This window comes from Homo sapiens, chromosome 1 (genome assembly GCF_000001405.40).
Source record: "Homo sapiens chromosome 1, GRCh38.p14 Primary Assembly".
Lineage (NCBI taxonomy): Eukaryota > Metazoa > Chordata > Mammalia > Primates > Hominidae > Homo > Homo sapiens.
In genome coordinates this window covers 82,973,387-82,992,599 of record NC_000001.11, presented here as the reverse complement: position 1 = coordinate 82,992,599, position 19,213 = coordinate 82,973,387, and the positions used below count along the sequence as shown (strand labels likewise).

Below are 19,213 nucleotides of genomic sequence, written 5' to 3'. Positions count from 1 at the left end.
ACTAAATTTTGTAGAAATTTTGGTAATTTAGATCTTTTTGGTCTTTGGTAATTTAGATCTTTAGTCTTTTTGGAATTTTTGAAAGCCTTTTAATGTCATATAAACTGCTGATCAACTAGAGGGGTGTGTCAAACTGGCTAAAAAGTGCCTAATTAATGCAGGAGAGCTCCTGAACAGGAATCAGTCCAGGGTCTAACACTTAAAGGACTTTAAATATGTTATTTCTTTTCTCTGAACTTCAGTGTTCTTTAAGACATGGTGGGAGGTAATAATATTTCACCTCCAGGATTAAAATGAAATAGTTCATGTAATGCTGTTACTTGAATAACTGGTATATTATATGAGTACTGAACATTGGAGGTTATACAGATTACTATTATGATTATCTAAATTCTAGAATGTGGAGCAATGCTATAGATTAACATATGCTATGGAATAATCTCATTATGCTATCCTTAAGAGACTTTAGAAATTCACCCTTAAAATTAGCAAAGAGTAGCCACTAAGCCCTTTCTATAAAGTTTTATAGTGCAAAGAGTGAGGCTTTGGGCTCAGTCAAACCAGGGTCTATGGTACCAATAACTGGTTAGTTGCGTAACTGAAGCCAAGCTATTTTTACCTCCATGAGTCTCAGTTTCTCATCTACTAATCGTACATTCTATCCTGGAGAGCAACACTTCCTTGCTGGTTTAATGCCATTATCCTCTTTGTATACACCCCCAGCCTATGAAGAAGGAGCCCTGATAAGAAAACAAAGACAAATTAGAATTCTTAAAATACACACTGCTATGCTGATGTGGGAAGATTTTTATGAGATGAGGTAATTATAACAGGTCCTTATAACCTCTTTTGTTTTCCACTTCTATATTTGTCGTGGCTTATGTGGCCAGGTCAGATGTTAGGATTTGGAATCACTTCTCACCCATGTATCAGAAATAGAAACTAGATGAAGTCAAATAAAGAACATATGGGGCAGAATTTTCAAGGCAGCATTAAGACTAGTCCTTGTAAAAGGGAGATGGGTCTTCAAGAACGTTATATGACTCAGCTCAGCCCCCACACAGTATGCTAAGCACAGATATGGGGCAGATACTTGAGCCATAAATAAAATGTGTGCCTTGGCTTGTAGTGTACTTTGCCCATAGAGACTTTGGAATCCAGTGATAGATAGAAAGTTGGAAGTTTGATCAAGTTTTAAGTACTTGGAGTTCAGGTCTTCATCATTAAATTTCCATGGATCTAGTACTGGTACCAACCTCATAGAGATATTACAGGATCTAAATGAAATAACATGTAGGAAGGATTTTGCTTATTTTTTCCACAAGTTTTCATTCTTAAAGATCTTGATAGGAGCAAACTCCAAGTAAAATGTTAAAGTGAACAATTTTGTATTTGGCACTTGATCATCTACCTCTCTCTTGATGTTTCATCTTCTTTATGTAGTTTTACAGAGCTAACTACAGGAGTTGGGTTTCTCAGTTGTTTGTTTCACCTTTGCAAATTGAGGCTTTAGCTAGCCTAGGAGTAATCATGAATCTCAGCACCCATGAACAAATAATAACATTTGGCAATCTTCTTGGTATCCAACCATCTAATCATAATATCTTATCCAAAAATCCATCCTATGCAGTCATAGTTGAGCATAAATGCTTAAAGAAAGGCTTTGCTTCTTTGTCTACTCACTCAGGACAAGCTATTATGAATGACAAGTATCTACTAATAATATGCTCTTTCATAGACATTTCATTTTCAGAGGGGGCTATTGAAAATTAAACAGGATTCAAAGCAATGTGTTTCTGTGTGAAATTTTGGGTATAGTCTGATGATAGTAATAAAGATATAGAAATCACTCAAGAAATAACTGTGGATTGATTGAAAAAATGAAAACATGAACAAATAAATAAAAAATATTTTGGAAATGGATGCCTTAACAGAATTATTTAAACCATTTGAAGATGGTATCCCTGGACCTGATTGCTATTTTAGAAACTGAATACTCTAACCTATTTTATACATATCTTTGTTTTTCAGCAATGCCTGGGGAAGCTCTGGAAGCGTAACCACACTGGGATGGTGAAGGGGAATTAGTCAATGACTTTGGGTAACACCTGGAATTTGACCTGCAGACTGGAATACAGCTTCCTATTAAAATGTTTCATTCTTATAAGTCTTGTGTGCATTTACGGCTTTAAGGAAGAAATTCTCTCAGGCTTAAGACATAAATTAAAGCCATATAGTGTCAGTTTCAATAAGAGCCTCTGTTTTTCAAATTTTTTGACTTTCACTTAGAAAGACAACACTGTACTAGGAGGTTACTCTTTTTGATCAGTCTCAACATTTTTCTAGCTGTTCTCAACTCCCCTTCAAAAGTATTTCCCACTAGAATTACATGAATGTTGTGCCCCCAAGGTGAATGCAGTGTTTGGAACAACAAAATATTGATTTCCCATTGTGTAACTTCCATTTAATTTAAACCAAAATGCAAGAAGGGGAAAGGGTTGGTAGGAGAGTACGCTGATATAACCCTTTCCAGTGATCCTTAAAAACTTCACACATTTCCAGTGCTGAATTTTGTTGACAGACACTTATTTCAATCACATTTGGTCTTACATATCTCTTCAAAAGTCTAGTTTAAAAAAAAAATCTAAAATCTTTAAAAGCCTGGCTTCGCCAGCCAAGAATTGATATGGTGAGCATTAAGCCTTAGTTGTTTGCTCAATTCAGTCTCATTCATCATAGTTGGTCTAAGTCTTAGGGCTTACTCCAAAATAGCCTCTAAACTTACTGGCTGCTCCATAAATGCAAGAAAAAGACAGCTCTCTACCACCTCCAGCATCATATGCTTTGCCTTTGCAATTCCATTATCGCTCCTGTCTAAGGGAAATTGAAAACCCTCTTGAGTATTATTCTACCATTTTGCCTATTCTATTATCTTACTCAACATTTTCTGATCTGCTTTTCTCCCCATCCCCTAGGTCAATGCTATTTTCCTATGATATTTTTGTCTTGTAAAATTATTTTACAAAATCATAGTAAATGTATTTAACATTGGTTATTTTGATATCTTTTTCTCTGCCTTGTTTATATGAGTAATTGTTGAAGTTCTTGCCATCTGATTTCTTTTTTAGGAGATATACTGAGTATTTTTACCAGGTTTTGTCATTTTTATCATTTAATGGATAAAGTAGTCATTCTTTTTATTATTAATTTCTATATATTTTATGCATCTATTTGTTAATGCACTCCTTTAAAATTTCATTTAAATAATGAAAAAATAGCTACCTTGTACCAAACTGCTAAGCACTTTATGTGCATCAATAATTTTATGAGGTTGGTTCTATTATCCTTATTGTATAGCTTTAAAAAACTGAGGCTCATAGAAGTTAGATAATTTGTCTAAACTTACACAGGTAAATATTTAAAGCAGAACTGCAAACAATAATCTTCATTTTTAAGCCTGAGATTTAACTTTCATACAATTCTAGATTTATCATCAGTTGGTCACTATTTTGAGACATGAGGTTAGCTTGTAGGAGAGAAAAATAAATTTTAAAAAAGATACTGCCTTCACAAAACTTGCACTATACAGTAATGAAGGGAAAAATCTACATACACCAAAAACTTGAATATCTCACATGAATAGAATACACCACCGGGAAAGAAAAAGCCCTTTGAACATTAAGAAGCTGAAAAGATCCTTGATAATTCAAAATGGTGGGTCTTGCTGTTCCCCTCAGCTGAACTACCTTCCCTTGCTCTTCTAACTTCTTAGCAAACTTCAAAGCTTTCCTGGTTACCCTGCCCTACCATGCTATCTCATTTTGCTAAATTCTGATAGAATTCCCTGCAGCTCAGGCATATTTAATATCACTGATTTTACTGTTGGGTATTTATCTTGTGTATTACATGGTTTGTCTCTTTAACCTGATCATAATCTTCATGAGCTTACTCTCTGAATAACCTGGCTAGTTGTATATTCAAAATAAAGGGCATTGGTAATTGCAATTATAAACACGTGGTTCATTTTGGTAGAGCAATGCTTCTCAACCTGTTCAGGTGATGGAAAAGCATTAAGGTCATCATGCTGTAAAAGGAGACGTCAATATATCTGATTTTATTAACTAGATATATTATCTTACCATACATTAGTTACTATCCCAGAATTTATATATTGTAGATAAGTAATAAAAAGCAACAAAGATTGAAGGAGAAAAAAACTTTGAAGAGGAAATATATAAAAATTATATGAATGCATGTTATTCATGTGTTTTTTCTGTTGTATTTTGCCTTGCTTTGTTTTTTAATAAAGTGGGGAAACATAAAAGCCTTTTAAAAATATTGGTGGCCGGGCGCGGTGGCTCACACCTGTAATCCCAGCACTTTGGGAGGCCAAGGTGGGCGGATTACAAGGTCAGGAGATGGACACCATCCTACCATCCTGGCTAACACAGTGAAACCCCGACTCTACTAAAAAAATACAAAAAACTAGCCTGGAGTGGTGGTGGGCGCCTGTAGTCCCAGCTACTGAGGAGGCTGAGGCAGGAGAATGGCGTGAACCCAAGAGGCAGAGCTTACAGTGAGCCAAGATTGCACCACTGCACTCCAGCCTGGGCCACAGGAGAGACTCTGTCTCAAAAAAAAAATAAATAAATAAATTAAATAAATAAATAAATAAATATAAAAATAAAAAAAGTAAATAAAATAAAATATTGGTGATATTGTTGCTTATATTACTTGGCTTCAAGTCCTTGGAGTTCTATGAAGCCACATTTGGAAACCTCTGTCACAGTGGCAAAATGTTGTATTTATTCTTACATCAACTTGTAAGGTAGCTAATGGCTACAGGTGTTATTAATTACAAAAGAATTCGGACTTGCTCAGTTACTTCGATAGGAGCATGGTCGCAAAATCAGATCTAATCAATTCCAGAGACAATGCTTTGAAGGTTTAGCACTTCTTGTTTTGATCATTGAGATATTTAATCCTATATTCTTATTTTCTTAGAATGCTAAAGAAGCATATAGATAGATTTAAGTGGTAAACAATTTTAATGCTGTTGATATCTCCCTAGAAATTTTTTATCTTTAATTACAATAGAAGGGGGATAAGAAGGCACCAACATTTACTTAGCTCCAGTTATGTGCCAGGTACTCTGCATAACTTAATTGACATTTATTCATTCCTTAACCAATATTTTTCAACAGCTGGCACATTACAAAAAAGTGCACTCTTGTGATAAGCAAAAATAGACATGCTCCCTACATTCATGAAAGGTACATATTCCAGTGTTAGACACTAACCAAATTCATAATTGTAAACAATGCTAGGAAGAAATAATACATAATTTTATCCTCAACAATCCTTTAAAGAAGTACACTGTCCCCTATTCATAAATTAGGAGGTTAAAGAGCTTGTCCAAATCTACAAGGCTAGTAAAGGTCAGCATGGCTGCCAGGTATGGCTCAGCAAGTGTTGCCTGAAACCCTTCTGAGGGCAGGGGGCATTATTCACATCCACTATAATGTAGCTGAGGCTTCTAGAGTTTTGAAGTGTATCACCCGCACAATCATAAGTGTGGCCTTAAGTGAGAGCGGAATCAGCCCTCAGTTTCTCCATTTGTCCCTAATTATTGTAGTTTCTCAGGGTAATTAAATTTGAAATATTTTAGTTTGTTCATCGAACCTACAGTATATTAAAGGTAAAATATGTAGGACAGCATCTAAACAATACCCAATTGAACGGGATACAATTCTCATTCAATTAATAAAAGATTGTTTGAGTGCCTGGTGTCTGTAAAAAAGACAGTATGAAAGATGTTTCCTGGCCTCACACTTGCCAGTAGACCAGGAAAATAAATGAAATGAGATTGACCATCACGCCACAATGCACTTAGAAGGCATTTCACTGCCTGTGAAGAATTTGTTTTTGCCTCTCCTGGCAGCCATATCAGTTGTGAGATGGAAGTTTGGAAGATAGCTAGAATGCTTCGACGAAAAACTTTGAATGATCTAACCTGGGCAATGGTGGATCCCTGCCAATTTGAGGGCATAGGAATATCATGTGCATCACAATGTTCATAATGGTTACTCCAGCAGTGTGAAAACCCATGAAGGAAACTCCAAGACTCAGGGAATCCAATTAGAAAGCTTTCACAAAAGATCGACATGAAGTGACAAGTTCTTGGATTATGGTGGTGAATTTTTTTTTTAATTGGAAAAGCATGTTCTATTTGGAAGAAACATTGAAGTCTCCTTTCCTCCTGGTTTGCTGTAGTTGCAGCTTTGTGTGGCAAGTAACACTTAGTAAATCTTCCTTACTTTTTTACTGTACTATAAATGAACTTTCTTACATAGCTTGTTTCTCAGCCCTTTTTAATTAGAATCAGAATAGGAGAATGGGTATCTCAGGCTGTGAGTAATTTGATATAGAACTTTTCACCTCCAGGTCAGTGGTAAGTGAAACATATTTATATATTTTAAGTGAATTTATTGCTCTTGAAGGGATCCCAGTTGTAATCCTTGACACCAGAACACTTATTGCCAGAAAGCCCACGGGCGTTGAAAACATTGATCAGAAAGTAACAGAGAGAAGGGGTTCAATTTCAACCGTTTTTCACTGTTTGGCTTCCCTTACAAGACCTTCTTAAATTGTTTTAATTAATCCTAGTTATGATTCTATTTTTAAAGGCTGATATCTATCTGATGACAAATTGGATATGAATCAATAAGATGGGCTTATTTCAATTTAGAGTATGAGCTATCCTGTTGCTTAAAAATAATTACCCATATCTGAAAAAGCAAGGAATTTACTACGGTATTCACTTTGCACTAGGGGGAAAAAGGAATGAGTGATAAAAATTGTATTACAAATTTCAGTAATAGGAATATGGCTTTTACAATTAGAAAATAATAGCACTGATTACATTGATCTTGGCATCAAGGGAATTAGAAGTTACTTTTTCTGGATGTGTGTGCCCATTTAACACCCCTAGAAATGACCAGAATGGATTCAACCCTGTCCAATTCCTCAGCTTCCAAGGCAACACATCCATGGCAACAACTAAGCATCATTACAGTTTCTCAAATGTGAAAAAAATAACAATTTCTTAACTCCCTTTACCCCAAGCACATTTTAGGCAATGTAAAAATATAAGAAAAAATTTCAGTTTTATCATCATTGATTATATATATACTCTGTCAGATACATTACTAGAAGATGGGCATATAATAATTAATAAAACAAATTACCTGTGTCTTAGCTTGAAGTACTCTGAATGCATAACCTAGAAAAAGAGCTTGCATGCAGACCATTAGGGACAGGAACCCAAGGGACAGGAATGAGAGAGAATGAAACGCAGGAGGGAAAGCCAAACCAAAAATGAATGCATCGGCCACCACTATAGGCAAATGGTGTTCCATCCTGCCAGACTTTCTAAGGAGGCTTATGAAATGTATTTCAGAATTGTTCACCTGGAAGATAAAATGGAAATGATTTTTTTTTTTTCCGTGGGCTCCGGCTCTCCTATTGTCAAGCGTGACCTAATGGACGTGAACTTCCCCACACTACCAAGTTGTGTGACTGGCACAGACGTGCCATGCAGCAGCATCAGGGAGTCCCTGTGGAACCTAAGAAGGACACTGTCAGGTTCACCTGTGTGAGCTTGGCCAGAACCTACGACAGACTATATGGTGCAGCTGACTGGTGGAAGAGATGAGGCTGAGAAGACACGAAAGGCTTATGGTACACTCTTCCCTTAGGGTACTCAATATTCAATGCATACCACAAAGGCATACCTTCTCTGAAAGAAAGAAGTTAAAGACTTGCATCCTTTTAGAATTATTCTATAAAGTAGATAGGCACAGATTAAATAGATGAGCTTTGGAGTCAGATAAATTGTGGTTTGAACATTCTTGGTAATTCTTGCTCTTTGTGCAGCCTAGATCAACTCATTTAGCATTTTCTCATCGGTAAAAGGGAGGGTGGGGTATGGTAAAATAGTTTCTATTCCATGCAACAATTGTGAATATTAAATGAGATTATGTATAGCACCTAGTCCATTGTTGTGCATAGGTACCATATTAAAAACAAATTTCTAGAGGTGAAGATCGGCAATCTTTCTATTTTCTTACTCCCATCCATATTTATGCATCAAATGATGCCATGAAGCATAACATATTTTTAATGATATGAGGATTCCTAAGATAGAAATAAGCCTTCTCATAGTGCTGAGAACTGAAAAAAGGAAAGCTATATTTTGTCTCAAGTTTATCAGAGCTCAAAATAGAAAGTGTTTTAAGCTTCATTTTCAATTCATAATGTTCCTCTAAATTCTATTTTCTGAGAGAAGCCAGCAGATGATTTGGTTTCCTAATTGTTAAAGTAACTTTTTAAAATTTGAAGAAAAAAAATTGATGTTTGGCTAAGCTGTTTCTTGAAACATCAGTGACCCTGAATGCAAGGTCTTTACAAGCTAAGAATTCCCTGAAGCTTGATAGGAACGTTGAGATCTTAACCTACACAACAGAACAGCAGGATCAGGCAAGTCACTGTGCTGAGATACCACTTGGGGCCAGATTTTAATAGCTGACAATTCATAATGGATTGACAAAAGCAAAACATCATTAACTTGAATCTACAAAGTCGAGATTTCCATATGCAAATAGGAGCTGGCACATATGTGCCTGTGTACAAGTCTCATTGCTTGTTTAGTTGTCTGTATGTCCTTTCCTTTGTCTTTAAGATCCCAGTGGACAAGAACCACGTCTAATAACCCACTTTGCAAAACAACAACAGGTGCACAGATTGAGGCCTCACTAAATATTTTCTATGGTAATGATGGCAGTATTGTTGATTTTCTCTCTCGCATAAGAGTAAGGCCTACAGTCTAATGTCAGCAACCAGAAGTAATAAGATAGTCATGAATGATACATTTGAGCAATGGAACGTGAAAGTTACATTATATTTATGTAACAAGGATAGACTAAACTCACCCTAAGGGTGTGGTCACCAGAAAGAGCCCTTACTCTGATTTTCTATATTTTACTTTAAGTTCATAATATCAATTCTTATAAAACATGTTTCCTTCATTGCAAGGTAGATAACTCTTTCATATTTATTCTGAGAATAATAGGGCTGTGAATTTTACTTTTTAGTGTAAATCTGCTTGGTTCAGTAATATATCATACAAGAAATTATAGCAACAGACTGCCAGACTGATTCTGGCTTACGGGAAAGTGATTTTACCTCTCTAGTATTAAGTTCTTCTTGAATAATTGTAACCTATCTTATAGACTTGTTGTGCAGATCAGATAAGATCAAACAAGATAATATAAAGTGCTATAAAAACTTAAGCTATTGTTATCCCTGAAAACGTATCCTTTGGCCTGGGCTTAGGTGACTTTAGGAAATAGCCAATTATACTATTTCCCTTATGAAAATATAATCTTGGACTTATTGTTCAGCATGCCTGTGTGAACACACTACGAGGACCCGCAGCCTCTTAAGATTTCTCACTCTACTTTCTTTCTCCATGTTCCCCAGGGATCTGTCTTTCTTGGCTTGTCTTTCCTTTTCTGCTGTGTATACAAATGCTGTGTGTTAAGATCAAGGAGTGGACACCTGGTTTGCTTCTCCAAGTTCTGTCGCTCAGTCTCATAAAGATTTTGCTTTGGGCATTGCAGCTGGCATTCTTTTCTTTCTCTTCCTTGCTGCTGAACGGTTACACAGGAAAGAATAATGAAGGCTTAAACTCTGCGATTCTGCTTCCTATCTACCTTGCATCCTCCTGTTACCAAAGGGGGAACACATGTTTTTCAAGCTCAATTTTTGCTGATGAAAATTTTGTTCAGTTTCACAGCTTGACTTCAGAATTTTCCCAAGTGATGGTAAATTTCATTCCCTTGCCAAACAAGGAAATAACCTACAAGAATGTTTGGAAGAAAAACTTAGCAATCCCCCTGAAGCTTTAGTATCAGATGAATAGAAGAAAGAAAACAAAAGTGTTATGCCAGCCTCTCTGTCATTCAAAATACTGATATGGTTTAAACATTGTAAATTTGGGGAGAATATTTAACGTTAGTCAATAGAAAATATTGTTACTAACTTGTAAACCTTGAAGTATAGATATTTATAGTAATGGTAGCATTTGAACTCTGAAAAGACAAAGAAGTGAAGCTTACACATGGCTCAAGGTTGAATGCATATTTGGTGAATCAATTACAGTTGGAGACAATAAACTAGATTTTCTTCCTCTCGTACATTACATTATTTTGTTTAGAACATTCATTTAAAAAATATCTTATGAAAACTTAACTTCTCTTATTTCCTTGATGGCTAACTAAAACACTATAATTCTAAGTTCTTTTTTATTTTCTTAGTTCACCATAGCCCAGGTAAAAGTCCTTTCTATAGGTCACTTTCATTAAAGGTGTGATAAAAATAAATGACTTGTAACAGGTAGAGAAAACATGAACCAGGAGGGGCAGGCTGCAATCCTATTTCCCAGCAGTGCTACAGAAAGCCTCCATGTTCTTTTGGGTTTTATTTCTGTGTTCAATTCCCACCAAGTTACACCGCTCCCCGACCCCATCCCCATCTTCCTGCCTGGGTGTCAAGGGCTGACACTGAAATAGACAAAAGGCAGAAGAGACCTTCCCTCCCTGGGAAGGGTTTTGGAAGTTAGCTAGTTTATTTAATCCCCAGGCAAACCTGCAGTCAAGTTAATCAGAATGAGAGAAACAGCTTCCTACATACGAGCTAGGACTGTGAGAAATTGTTTTTCAGGGTGTTTTATAGCCAAAAGCCTTCAAGAGAATGGAAGAGCTCTCCAACCAGGGGCACAAATATTCAAGGAGAGCTTGTTTGTTTTATGGTTATTTTTATCCCACAATAAACAGCTTAAATTTGCAGACTATACTTTTTGACTATAAAGTGGGTTATTTCTCAAGATGCTGGTGCTTTCCCCTAACAGATGGAATAAATAGAAGAAAATGCTGAGAATAAACCACTGAAATTCTGATTTATTCAATCATTAACAAAAAGAAGTGCAATTTCAATGGTAATAGAATGAAAACCCAACTGTTTCTGCTTTCCTTCTGAAAACTTGTTTTCTATGGAGAATGCTGCTCTTAGGCAAACACCTATTTAAACCTCAGCAATGTATAATCTTAACTTCAGGCAGCATGGTTGTATAGGTTTGGTAATTTGTAATACCTCTGCAAATAGGGATAAAATACTAACTTTCAATAATATAAGCAGTATCTGCAGTACAAATACTAAAAGTGCTACATTATATCCCAGGAAAGATATTTTATAAAAAAGACTTTGCACTTGGTTTTAAATGCTTCTCTAGGCAGTTGCTTTGCAGGCTTGTTAGAGGAAACACAGTGTATGTACAACCTTCGGAGACATGGCACTAAGTAGACAACCAGTCAGTCCAGTATGTCTTTTTCAGGACACAAATAAGAAGGCAGGAAAACAAAAGCCATTTAAGTGCAACAATAACCTCAGGGAGGACACTTCCGTGTTGGAAACCACACTAAATGCTTCTTGGAAAAATTGCTTGATTATAATGAAACCAAATAAAATATTGTTGTAAGTCTATAAGAAAAGCAGAAAACCTAAAATTAAAAAAAATCCATGACATAAGTATATGTATAAAAAAAATCCATGATATACACACGTGTGCACGCACTCGTGCACATACACAGGGTATGTAAGAACATAAAACATTTATCTGTGTATTTTGCATATCACAAAGAACTGTAGGATATAAAGATTTCAACATATTTGTGCACAAACTTTTTAAAGATTTTGAAGTCCTTGAGCTGGAGTTTGGCTCTGTCGTTAACTAATGTTGTGACCTGGGTTTACTCATATTTTTTAAATCCTAAGATTATTTTTGCAGAATTTGGTAATTAGACTTCTAAATGATCTATAAGGAAGTTCTTTCCAGTTTAAAAATACTGTAATTTCAAGGTTTTCCTTTTTTTTCTGTTTGCTTGTTTGTTTTCAACTAAGTATTTCTTTTTTTCCTTTAGGTTTATTATTAATAAAAAGAAATCAACACAGAATTATGTTTGCAATATGCAATCACCTATATTTAGCTGAAGAGAGATGTTTATGACACAAACCCTTCAGTTTCCTCGTTTGTTATCTTTGGTTTACATCAGATGAAAATCTCCCCAGTAGCAAGGTGGCAGTTACAATCTATGGAGCCTAAAATTAAAATGAAATTAAGTTATTTTAGAAGACATCTCATTTAATAGATTCTTCTATTCACTTATTCCTCTCTCTCGTCTTTTATCTCTAACCCAGCACAATTCTTAAAATCTTGAATAAGAACAGAACTTCATGATAGTCTTCCCAGGAGTTTTAACAAAGCTCTGTATAGAAACAGTCTGGTTGAACATTTTTTAATCTATATATTCTGAAAGTGGATGTGGCTTCTCCTGTCCTAATCATGTAAGCAGACTGCAACAACATTACTGCTCAAACCAACGAGGTCTTTTAAAATGTGCTGCCCGTTTCCTTTTTCAATCCACCGAATAGCTGCAGTTGTTTCTAAACCTCTTTAGTTCTCTATGCACACACAGTATCATGCCTATCTCTTTGTGCAGGTGTATGTTTTGTTGCGGTTTGTTTACAATTGGCAGGGGTTGATTGTAAAAGCCCTGTATTATGAATAAACCAATGCCTGAAATGAAGTGGAACCTTGATTTATTTGGGTAGGACTGTTTTCCAGTACTGTAAATCATATTTTGGTGTTCATTTACCTTTGCATTCTTTTTGAGCCACCGGCACTGAGACTGACGAATGGGAATCAAATGAAGTGTGCTAAGTGCTTCTGCTGGAGGGTTTCAGTTCCCCATTTGCCGGGGTGTGATATATCTCTGCAATACATCATGCAACTTATTTTCCTTTACTTATTTTATTTAGCATTGTCACAAATAATATCAATTGGCCATTGCCTATGAACCCTAAAGAGTAGTAAATTAATGAAATAAGCTGCATGTACAGAACTCATCTGTCCCCAATTTGATTAGAGCCACTTTGGTTGCACCAAGCCATTTACTATAGATGAGCTTCATTTATTAAACAAGCAGCTTCATGAGTTCTTGGTAAATTGTTATGCACAGTATTTGCAGTGATTTTCATGAAACACTTAAAGCTGACTCTTTTATATCTCAATCACTAAGAGTATTTTATGCCTGTGAAATAGGCATTTTGAGTCATCTTGTGACTTTCATCTGACTAACTCCATCTGAAGTAGTTGTCTATTTATGGAAGGAGGTGTCCTTTATTTTTGTTTCTAGGGAACACAGTAGGAGCAAGGGAAGGGCAGAGGGGCTTATTTCATATAAGGGCTTCTTGTCGCCTGAACTATGGTTGAAGTTCCCTCACAGAACAGAGCAGCTGGTCACAGCTCTGCCCAGGCATTTCTGTGTCTGCATCTTCCTGCTGTACTTGCATATCAAGAAGCATTTCAGACCACAGGAATGCAGGATTCCAAGGCGCCAATTTACCTTGGAATTTGAAAAGGTAGGTTTCACAAAGCGAATGGCTTTTTAAAAAACAACCAGAATCATTCAGATAGATAATGTTGGTGTTTCTTTGTGGCTTTAACAAACCTGGGGAGGCCAAACATGTTCCAGAAAAGCACTGCAAGGTAGGTAAAAGCTGTGAATCAGAAACAGGGAAAACATAAGTGACTTTGGTATGAAACAAGGTGACAGCTTCTGGGCACTGGGGAAACTGCCTCAAAAACAGGAGAAGGGGTGAGGGGCACAATGCGGGGAATGTGTATCCAGAGGCTGCAGTGAGATGTGCCGATCACATAACTTCTGTGAAGGGCAGAGGAACGAAGCTGAGAGACAAAGAAATCATGGTGGATGAGATAAGAACATTCCGGAGAAGTATCTGTGTGAGAGTAAAGCAGAATAAAAATTGGAAACATTTGGAAGAGCTTGTCTCTTTCCAGAGCTTAAATGAAGGTGGGTGGTGGTGATGTAACGCAGAATCGTCCTATATGTCTTTGCTAAGAACATATGTCCTCCTCATGAATCCACTGCAGTCAATACCGATAAAAAAAAGTGGGAGGCAATCATAGAAATGCTTAGTGTTAAAGTTAAAAGCATATTCAATATTCCTGTTTTACTAAAGAATTTTATGCATGCCAGTACCTCAAACCCTCACATGTTTTCAAAGAAATTTAGAGCCCCAAAATACTAGAGCTTACAAAGTGGAAATGAAGAAATTTAGATATCCCAGTCCCACAGATTTTGTTAATGATGTTTCCTGAGAGTTACTTTATAATTTTTTCAGTATATAGTTACAGTTGAAATCTAATTCGCTGGTACAAGTTCTTTATTTTAAATGAAAATTAAAGAGTCCATTGAAACAGTCTCCTAATTAGAGAGAATATGGAAGGAAGGAAGGAAAGAAAAGGAAGGAAGGAAAGAAGGAAGGAAGGAAGGGTGGGAAGGAGATAGGTGTCCAAACCAGAGTGACCTCCTCTTGAATAGGGGCTGGGTAAAATAAGGCTGAGACCTACTGGGCTGCACTCCCAGGAGGTCAGGCATTCTTAATCACAGGACCCTGTTGATAAAGAGGATGTGGTAAAGAAGATGGCCAAATCCCACCGAAACCCAAAACCAAGATGTCAACGAAAGTGACCTCTGGTCATCATCACTGCTCACTTTATGCTAATTACAATGCATTAGCATGCAAAAAGACACTCCCACCAGACCATGACAGTCTACATGCCAACATCCGGAAGTTACCCTGTATGGTCTAAAAGCAGGAGGAACCCTCAGTTTTGGAAATTGTCTGTCTCTTTCCCAGAAAATTCATGAATAATCCACCCCTTTTTTAGCATATAATCAAGAAATAACTACAAATATACTCAGTCAATCAGCCCATACTGCTGCTCTGCTATGGAGTAGCCATTCTTTTGTTTCTTTACTTTTCTAATAAACTTGCTTTCACTCTACTCTGGACTTGCCTCAAATTCTTTCTTGTGGGAGGAGGAAGGAAGGAAGTAGGGAAGGAAGGAAGGAAAGAAGGAAGGGAGGGAGAGAGGGAAGGGGGAAGGAAGAAAGAAAGGAAGGAAGGAAGGAAGGAAGGCAGGAAGGAGAGGAAAAAAAGACTGGCAGTTCCTGTATGTATACATCATTATTATTATTAAGTGATTTTTTTTGTGCTCATTATATAACATAAAAATATCATGGAACATTTGAGATAAAAGGAGCTGGAAAATATTAAATAAAATACATCCCACTCAACAAGTCCAAAGGTGAGTTTCACGACAAAAATGATATCTTGGGCAAAGTGTTTTGAAAACAACTGCTACCCTAAATACTACTTTCATATTCACAGTTGCACACTAATAAGAGATTCTGAGGAGTCCTGCAGTAAAGAAAGTGTCTGAGTTTGTTTTAACTTGCATTTCAAAAATATGTTTGACTAGGGTAATTTTTTTTTTCATATAACAGCTATTAACAGACTATGTACTAGTGCTCCATTGAACATATCTTGGGAAATGCTACTCTCAACACTTCGGCATAACTCACTCACAAATTCTAACTCTTTTAGAGATTATACTTAGGAAAATGTGTCCGTGGGTAGAACTACCTCTAAGAAAAGTAAGGTTTATGAAGGGAATTCTAAGCTCTGGAATCTTCAGACATGACCAATGAGGGAATAAAATCTCATTCTGGGAGTTCCCAAACTCCAGATGTTTTATTTTTTCTATAACTGAACTTGAAATTGAAAAGTCAATCTTTAAAAAACAATAGTATCATATAAAAAAAACCTATAGATAGGATACTCATATTTAGCAATGCTCTTTTTACCATTTTTGAAGTTGTAAACATGACTAGAAGCCAAAAATACTGATTCCTACTCAACAACTTCCTGTGTTACCTGAATTCCGCATCTTCTCTATCAATCAAATTGCTGAAATCTCACTCTAAAATTAGCAATTTTATTCTGATTATTTCTCAGCTTCATTTCCCTTGATCTCTTGTGGGCATTTGACAGATCAGGCCCATTTTTCAATCCCAAATTCAAATCCATTCCTCTCCCATGAAGCCTTCTCTGATTAGCTTGTCCTGTTCTCACTGACATATATCTCTATCTATCTATCATCTATCATCTATCTATTTATCTATCTATCAATCATCTATCATCTATGTATCTATCATCTATCATCTATCTATCTATTTTTTCCCCAAAAAATTATTTAATATTTGCTGGATACTGCAATTCATGCATTATCTTTTTCCATTTTTTACTTTTCTATTTTAGACTAATTTCAAATAAATGTTTTGTTTATTGAAGCCTAGAACTAAGTGTTCATTACACCCCGGGTTTCTCACTTGTTTTGAAAATAATCAGCATCCTAAAGTCAATCTACAAGACTTCCTTTAGAATTTTTTTTTATGTTGGTCTCAATGCAAGAATCTGCAACAAGAAAAAAGGTATCTAAATTTGTTGAGCATAGGCCAGGCACAGGGGCTCACGCCTGTAATCTAAGCACTTTGGGAGTCTGAGGCAGGTAGATTGCTTGAGCTCAGGAGTTAGAGACCAGCCTGGGCAACATGATGAAACCTTGTCTCTACAAAAAACTTAAAAAATTAACCGGGTGTGGTGGCATGCACCTGTAGTCCCAGCTCCTTGGGAGGCTGAGGTGAGAGGATTGCTTGAGCCCAGGAGGCAGGTGGTACAGTGAGCTAAGAATCATGCCATTGCACTCCAACCTGTGCAACACAGCTAGATCCTGTCTCAAAAAAAATTAAATAAATAAAAATTATTGAGCACTTATGTGAAAAACCCTGTGCTAGATGGATCTATGTATAAGCCTTATCATACCACTGTGGCATTATTGTGATTCTTATTAATATCATCATCACCACTGCCATATCAATATAAGGAAAGTGAGTTAGAAATACATTAAATAGGCTGGGCACAGTGGCTCACACCTGTAATCCCGGCTCTTTGGGAGGCTGAGGCAGGCAGATCACCTGAGGTCAGAAGTTTGAAACCAGCCTGATCAACATGGAGAAACCCCATCTCTACTAAAAATGCAAAAATTAGCCGGGCGTGGTGGTGCATGCCTGTAATCCCAGCTACTCAGGAGGCTGAGGCAGGAGAATCGCTTGAACCCAGGAGGTGGAGGTTGCGGTGAGCTGAGATCGCACCACTGCACTCCAGCCTGGGCAACAAGAGCGAAACTTCGTCTCAAAAAAAAAAAAAAAAAAAAAAAAATTAAATAATTGGGTTTTCATAATGCCCCAGGCATGGTTCTAAGTATGAGTGCAAAAGTAATATTGTGGTTTTTGCATTATTGGAATTTACCGTTTGATATTGGAATACATTCTTAAATAAATGTGGTTCTGTTAAACATCATTTTAATGGGCATTTCTCACTTTATTTTTTTTGCTAATCACTTATTACTTGTTGTTTATTTTGTGTTTATTTTAGATGATGGAAATGATGTTAAAGAAAAAGAAAATTCGAGTGATTTTCTTATTTGAGGTCAAAATGGGTCATAAAGCAGTGGAGACAACTCGCAAAATCAACAACACATTTGGTTCAGGAACTGCTAACAAATGTACAGTGCAGTGGTGGTTCAAGAAGTTTTGCAAAGGAGAGGAGAGCCTTGAAAACGAGGAAAACAGTGGCTGGCTATAGGAAGTTGACAATGACCAACTGAGAGCAACCATGGAAGCTGATCCTCTTACAACTGCGTGAGAAGTTGCCAAGGAACTCAGCGTTGAGCATTCTAGAGTCTTTCAGCATTTGAAGCAAATTGGGAAGGTGAAAAAGCTGGATAAGTGGATGCCTCATGAGATGAGTGAAAATTTAAAAAAAAATAAAATAAAAAACAAAATTGTCATTTTGAAGTGTCATCTTCTCTTACTCTAAGCAACAACAACAAATCATTTCTCAATCAGTTTGTGACGTTCAATGAAATGTGGATTTTATACGACAACTGGTGATGACCAGCTCAGTGGCTAGACCAAGAAGCTCCAAAACACTTCCCAAAGCCAAACTTGGACCAAAAAAAGGTCATGTTCGCTGTTTGGTGGTCTGCTGCTGGTCTGATCCACTATTGCTTTCTGACTCCCGGCGAAACCATTACATCTGAGAAGTATGCTCAGCAATTCAAAGAGATGAACCGAAAACTTCAACCCCTGCAGTCAGCAATGGTCAACAGAAAGGGCCCAATTCTCCACGACAATGCATGATCGCACATTACACAACTAAAGCTTCAAAAGTTGAACTAACTGGGCTACGAAGTTTTGCCTCATCCACCATATTCACCTGACCTCCCGCCAACCGACTACCACTTCTTCAATCATCTCGACAACTTTTTGCAAGGAAAACACTTCCACAACCAGTAGAATGCAAAAAGTGCTTTCCAAGAGTTCACTGAATCCTGAAGCACGGATTTTTATGCTACAGGAATAAACAAACTTATTTTTCATTGGTAAAAATGTGTTGATTGTAATGGTTCCTATTTTGATTAATGAAGATGTGTTTGAGCCTAGTTATAATGATTTAAAATTCACGATCCAAAACCGCAATTACTTTTGCATCAGCCTAATATGAGGAAGTAATAGTTGAACAGAATAATTCTTTCCTGGAAGTCTGGCATTTTGCCTGGGGAGAAGGATCATTAAAAACTTAAACATTTTAATAAAACCATTTAAACAAATGATTTTGTTACAATGTCTGATAGGGTGATACATGCTGTTGAAATGGGAAAGTTCCCTTGTTCCCTCACAGGGCTGGTGATGGGGGTGTGGCTCGCTTCTTCCGTGCCTCACTGCTCAAACCTCTAGGGGAGCATACAGACCGGCAGCTGTGGGGCTCTGACCCCACGGCAGTGTCTAGAGGTGAGTGTCTACAGCTGAAGCCCCAGTGGGTGTGTGTTACAGGGTACTCTTTTAGTTTGCTGTCTATAGGCAGCTTGTGTTAACCAGCTAGATTAGACCCTCTACCTTATCCCAAGGACAGAGGGCTTTCTGTATCCTGGGTTCTTGCCTTGGTGTACCGGAAGAATCGGATCACACGTGGGCTTGGAGAATGAATGTAAAGTTTTATTGAGTGGAAGTAGCTCTCAGCCGATGGGGGAGCCAGAAGGGAGATGGTTTTCCCCTGGAGTTGGGCTGCTCAGTGGCCCCTGGCTCTCCTAAGACTTCCCCAGGCC

At 37.0% G+C, this 19,213-nt stretch overlaps 2 long non-coding RNA genes across 3 annotated transcripts in view; one reads left to right on the top strand and one right to left on the bottom strand.

The window, feature by feature from the left end:
* LINC01362 (long intergenic non-protein coding RNA 1362) overlaps positions 1 to 19,213 on the bottom strand; it is a 263,633-nt gene that overhangs the window by 174,216 nt on the left and 70,204 nt on the right. The window contains exon 3 of the long non-coding RNA NR_147074.1: positions 620 to 740. This is a non-coding gene — a long non-coding RNA (long intergenic non-protein coding RNA 1362). The remainder of the gene's footprint in view (positions 1 to 619; positions 741 to 19,213) is intronic.
* LINC01361 (long intergenic non-protein coding RNA 1361) lies at positions 6,392 to 18,718 on the top strand. 2 transcript variants are annotated; one of them, NR_110633.1, is made up of 3 exons: positions 6,392 to 6,451; positions 13,314 to 13,539; positions 17,482 to 18,718. It is a non-coding gene; the product is annotated as a long intergenic non-protein coding RNA 1361 (long non-coding RNA). The 2 variants fall into 2 exon arrangements; NR_110632.1 differs by lacking the exon at positions 6,392 to 6,451 and adding an exon at positions 7,678 to 7,740.